This window comes from Homo sapiens, chromosome 4, assembly GCF_000001405.40.
Source record: "Homo sapiens chromosome 4, GRCh38.p14 Primary Assembly".
NCBI lineage: Eukaryota > Metazoa > Chordata > Mammalia > Primates > Hominidae > Homo > Homo sapiens.
This window is the reverse complement of record NC_000004.12, coordinates 160,692,070-160,698,568: the sequence shown is the minus strand read 5'-3', so window position 1 is coordinate 160,698,568 and position 6,499 is coordinate 160,692,070.

Sequence of the window (6,499 nt, the reverse complement as noted above, 5' to 3'; positions counted from 1 at the left end):
CATTTAGAAGAAATTTATTTGTAGCATTTTGTGATAGTTTCAACAGTTTGCAACTATAAATTATTTTAGCCTACCTAATATATTAACATTTCAAAATATTTGTTTCCTTTCTCTCTTTCTTTTTGTCACTTTTTTCTTTTTCTGCTTTCTTTAAAATTGATTTGTAATTAATGTTCTGTTTTAAAATACCAACTGAAAAGTTTTGTTTATTCTGATTTTGAACATCACTCAAAAATGTTTATTTTGCTCATAATTGTGGTGAGTGACTTTGGGGGTAGTTTATATCATCTTGTTTGAAGAACATGTGATATTGTTTATTTATATTATCTTGGTAGTCATAATTATTATCTGTAAAGCCTTTATCTCATTAACGGAGTAGATGCACTACTTAATGGAAAAAACAAGATATGCTGTGATTTGTCATCTGGCCTTAGACGGGGAAGTTGTGTTTTATTTGTTCTTGTTAGTTCATTTGTTCTTGTTGCTCATTTGCATTTTTTTTGTTTTTTTTAGCAGTCTATATTAACTGAATTTGGTGAAAAAAATGTTATTTTTATTTTTATAACCATAACAGGGACCTCATGATTTAGAAATCTAAATTGCTTTAAATCAAAGAAATAAAGTGTTATAAATTGGGAAATAATAAAGTTTGAAAGCAAATAACAATTTGGAATAATATTATAAAACATATGCAGGCAAAAGATTTAGATACTTAAAATAATTGTCAATAATGGTGACACATGTAATAATTAAAGATTACCAAGTCTTAGTTAATTTTGATCATGAATCAATTTTATTTCAAGTTTGCTAGAAGTAGAGGCTTTATGTAAAAGCTAACCGAAAAAGATCCCCTTTTGGCAGTTGTTGATCGTGGTAGTAAAAAATGTTACATATCAATTTTTAGGCTGCAATAAGAACAAAACACATCGCTTAAAGGTCATTAGATTCCTTGCAAGACTGGTTAAAGGTCTTTAAAGGATCTTGGCAAAATGGACTTTCTTTGAATGAATTTCCAAGAAGGTCTAGCACGCTCATTAGAGTCCATCAGGAAATTGCTCAAGCATCATTTCAGGAATGTTAATTTTGTTCCCAGAGGATCAGCTAATCACATTAGACCACAAAGTTATATCCCATTTTAAGACTGGAACAATTTTTGAAGTCCCTCTTTTAATTTTTATTTTTCAAATAACGTTCGCTGTGTATATTTAAGGTAAACAACATGATGTTATGAAATACATACATGTATATATAGTAAAAGCTTTACCGTACTCAAGCAAATTAACGTATCCATCATCTCACATAGTTACCAATTATTTTGGTTTTGGTTTTGAGTCAAGGGCAGCTACATCTACTCATTTAGCATAGATCTCAAATACGGTACAGTTTTATTCCCTATAGTCGTCATGTTGTACCATTAGAACTCTAGAATTGTTCATCCTACATATCTGCTACTTTGTATCCTATGAACCACATCTCATTTCCTTCTATTGTAACTCCTCTTTCCTGGTAACCACTGTTTTGTTTTCTATCTCTGGACAGATGCTCCTCAGCTTCTCATGGGGTTAAGCCTTGATAAAGCCATCATAAATTAAAAAAATCCTAAAGTGAAAATACATTTAATACTGTTAACCTACCAAACATCTGCGCTCGGCTTAGCCTACCTTGCACCTGCTCAGAACACTTATTTTAGCCTACAGTTGGGCAAAGTCATCCTTCAGAAAGGCTATTTTATAATTAACTGTTTGATATCTCATATAATTTATTGAATACAGTATATGGCAGAGTACAGTACCTGATATTTAGCCTCATGATCATAGGACTAACGGAGCCGTGGCTCACTACCACTGCCCAGCATCACAGCCATGCCCAGCCACTGCACAGCCAGTCTTATTGTACTGTATATTGTTAGCCCAGAAAATATCAACATGCAAAATTTTAAATAAAATTTCTACTAAATTTCTACTAAAAAATTTCTACTAAATATCTATCACTTTTGCACCTATATAAAGTCAAAAAATTGTAAGTCAAACCATCATAAGCCAGAAACCGTCTGTATATTTTTCATTTTTGTTTTATATTCCTCCTATAAGAGAGATCATGCAAGATTTCTCGTTTTGTGTCTGTCTTATTTCAGTTAGCATGATGTCCTCCAGGCCCATCCATGTTGTGAAAAAGGACATCTCATTCTTTCTCAGGGCTGAATAATATTTCATTGTGCACATGCACCACAATTTCTTCATCCATTAACCTATCGACTGACTTAGGTTGTTTTCATATCTTGGCTATTGTGAATAATTTTGAAATAAAGATAGGAGTATAGATACCTTTAGGACGTGATAATTTTATTTCCTTTGACTATATGTTTACGAGAGGGATTGCCAGGTCATATGATAATTCTAGTTTCTGTAGAAACCTTTATACTGTTTCTATGATGACTGTATCAATTTACATTCCCATCAACAGTGTACAAGACTTCCCTTTTCTCCACACACTTCTCAACATTTATCTTTTGACTTTTTGATAATAGCCATTCTAATGGGTGTGAAATGATATCGTTAGTGGAACTGATTTGTATATGCCCAATAATTAATAATGTTGAGCATCTTTTTGTATATCTAAAGTTCCTCTCTTAATGCAGATAAATTTGTTTTTGTAAAGAAAGGTATGTATGCATTTTGCGCTGGTGTCATGAATTGAATTTGAGTCAATCTATATTAACATTTCCTGTATTTGTGGAAATTAGACTTATTTATAAAACAACACACACTAAACAAAATTTGTTGATGAACTGATATTATTCTTTAAGCTTCTTGCTTTATTAATGCAGATTATCCAGGCAAATTCTTATCACTGTGAGAATGACTTAGTTTCAGGAAAATTTTTATTTATACTTAGGCTTTTCTAGCATATATATTGCTATATTTGTTATTTAAAAATATGTATAGATTATACAGTGTAGGTATAATAAATTTTATTAATGAAACAAATAATTTTTTATTGATGTTCAAAATAAATATCAAGGGTCATATGTAAATGTTAAACATACCAAAGACAGAAAAGTAACTTTATCTTCTGGAGATATTTTATAAAACTTCAGAAATGGATTTTGGATTCCTTCAATTGTCTCAACGTGTGTGTATATATATCTATATATATGGTAGTGTTTACATTATGACTTAATTTACATTATGACATATGTATCTGAGACAATTGAAGATGATATATACACACACACACACACACACACACATACACACTCAGAACAAAACAGGTACAAGTTTGAGGGACAGGACTTTATAGACACTGTTTTTTTCATACATAAAACAGGGACTTTAAAATACTTAATTAAATAAGACTTTTCTTTGACTATTATGCTTTAGTCATCTTCAGTTTTACCCACGTGGTTTTATGTAATTAGACCCTGGTGTGAAGGAGAGCTGATTTATATTCACCTATGTGAGTAGTTGTATCTACATAAAAACAAAATAACTATAAAATATCTGGCAACCATCTGAGTAGTTTTGCAAACAAGGTCACCTATACATAGATATAAATTCAGGTATAAATAATACTTTCATTAGAATCAATATAAACTCTAGCAGTGACACTATCTGCAAATTTGGTTTGATTTTTCACAAATCTGTTGCTGTTAGAATTTTAAAAATTTAATTCAATGGCATTTATCAAAGGACAATGGTGGTTTTTCTAAGCCTGACCCATTATAAAAGCACAGTTGAAACCAGAATAACAAAGAAAGGAAAAGGACCTTCATCATATACTTATCACAAAATAAAATATGAAAAACTATACTTCCTGATGTTTCTTCTAGAATATCTGATCTGTGGCTTTTAATGTACAGCAGGAAAATTCAGGCTAGTGTTAGAGAAGAGCAAAAATCAGCAGATGATGACAAGACTGAATGATTCAGTTAATATGTTTTTGTAAATAACAATATGAAAACGGAAAAGCATAGACACCTCTATTGGGAGTGTAGTGCATAAGATGAGGGCTTATGTAACTCTTTTGTAAACACTTAGAAGACTTTATGGATAGTGCATGCATAGAGGGTCCTACAATCCACTTGCAATGTCAAATAAATGCACAGATATTAGAAAATTTAGCTTCTCTTTTTAATCCAAATAACATTTTGTAATGTGCTAACAGTCTTCTCTACTCTGTTACCGATAAACTTCCCTCTTTTATGAAAACAAACTGAAATACATTTTAATATGCATATAGTTTAATTATAAACTTTTATGAAGTCACTAATAATAGTACACACTAAATAATAGTAGATACCATTTAGAAAATTATAAATATAATCTTGAAAATATATTTATGACAATGCCTGTTTCTTACACCTATTTGCCCCTTAATTTAAATGTTATGAAGAGCTAACACATTTGCATATAGACAAAAGCACAAAGATAACAAATGTTTTCAGAAGACTAAATTATTTTCACTTAAGTTTTTAAAATATTACCCATTGATTACCTCTGTATATTATTAGCTCAAATGTCTGTAGTTAAATATGTATATTAGCACAGAACAAATATACTATCATTCAAATACTTATAAGATAAGTGCATATAAATTTGATTTCTAAAAACAGTACAACTCTGTTGATATTAAAAGTTTACTATGGAATTATGTCAAACATTCTTAATCTGGTAAGATATCCATGAGTCCATACTAATAACAATAAATGACTAAATACATTTTAAAATGAAGAAGAGATAACTCTTCTATACAAAAAATTCCAAATAATTTATGTAGATATTCCATCCTACATGAGGGAGAGCATAATTCCCACCCCTTAAATTTGCCATGCACATAGTGACTTCCTTTCAAACAGTACTAGATGGAACACAACAACAAAGAACACCTTTACAGTACAGCAGGAAAACTGGCAAACAGCACTTCAGACAAGTGATCAACGTTAGCATCAAAACTCAAAAATCATGGAGATCCTCAGGCCTGCAATCCCAGCACTTTGGGAGGCCGAAGCGGGAGGATCACGAGGTCAGGAGATCGAGACCATCCTGGCTTACATGGTGAAACCCCGTCTCTACTAAAAATGCAAAAAATTAGCCAGGTGTTGTGGCGGGAGCCTGTAGTCCCAGCTACTCGGGAGTCTGAGGCAGGAGAATGGCTTGAACCCGGGAGGCGGAGCTTGCAGAGAACGGAGATCGCGCCACTGCGCTCCAGCCTGGGCGACAGAGGGAGACTCCCTCTCAAAAAAAATAAATAAAATAAAAAATAATGGAGATCGTCTATATCTTTGGTACGATTTGATAAAAATGTAAAAATGGCACTTTAGTTAGCTGTATTTCAAGATATTTCATTCTTTTTTTAGTGTTGGGCATATTTTATTGTTTCAGCATTCCAATCTATTATGGCCCAAATAGTTGCTTATGAAGAAAGAAAGAAACGTGGCATGTTTATTGAATAAATGAAGAAATAGAGAAACCAAAATGTAGTGTCTCCTGGAACAAAGTGTTTTCCCCTTTATTTGATGCCACTTTACACTTTTGACTCATTGTTACATAAAAAATATCCTGTTCTGGCATTAAATTTCAACTTCACGAGCCTTGCAGCCTACATTATTAATATCATGCTATATTATGATGTGCTATAATACTATAACATAATGCTATAAATGATTATATCACAAAACCATATTATTATATAATTCTAGTGTATGGAAGATAGCTCAATCCCTGAGCCTTGACTCACACTTAAATGTCACAGACACATCATTCTAACTAATCATGCTTCTTAGACTGATCCTATTTTCAGTTTCCTTTAATTCTTTTTTTAATGGTAATACAAATTTTATTTTATTTTTTATCTTCATTTTAATTTTTACTTATATATTTTTCACTTTTATTTTAGGTTCAGGGGTACATGTGCAAGTTTGTTGTATAGGTAAATTGTTTGTGACAGGGGCTTGGTATACAGATTATTGGGTAGCCCAGGTAATAAGCACAATACCCAATGGGAAGTTTTGTTTTAAGTTCTTTCAGAAATCACCAAACTGATTTCCACAGTTACTGAACAAATTTACATTTCCACCAGCAATGTATAATCATTCCCTGTTCTCCACAGCCTTGCCAGCATCTGTTACTTTTTGACTTTTTAATAATAGCCACTCTGACTGGTGTGAGATGGTATCTCAGTGTGGTTTTGATTTGCATTTACCTAATGGTTAGTGATGTTGAGGATTTTTTCATATGCTTGTTGGCTGCATGTGTGTTTTCTTTAGAAAAATGTCCTTTTGTGTCCTTTGCCTCTTTTTCAATGGGGAGGTTTGTTTCTTGCTTGTTAATTTGTTTAAATTCCTTATAGATTCTGGATATTAGACCTTTGTCAAAAACATAGTTTGCAAATATTTTCTCCCATTATGTAGATTGTCTGTTTCTTCTGCTGAGAGTTTCTTCTTCTCTGCAGAAACTCTTTAATTAGGTCTCATTTGTCAATTTTTGTTTTTGTTGCAATT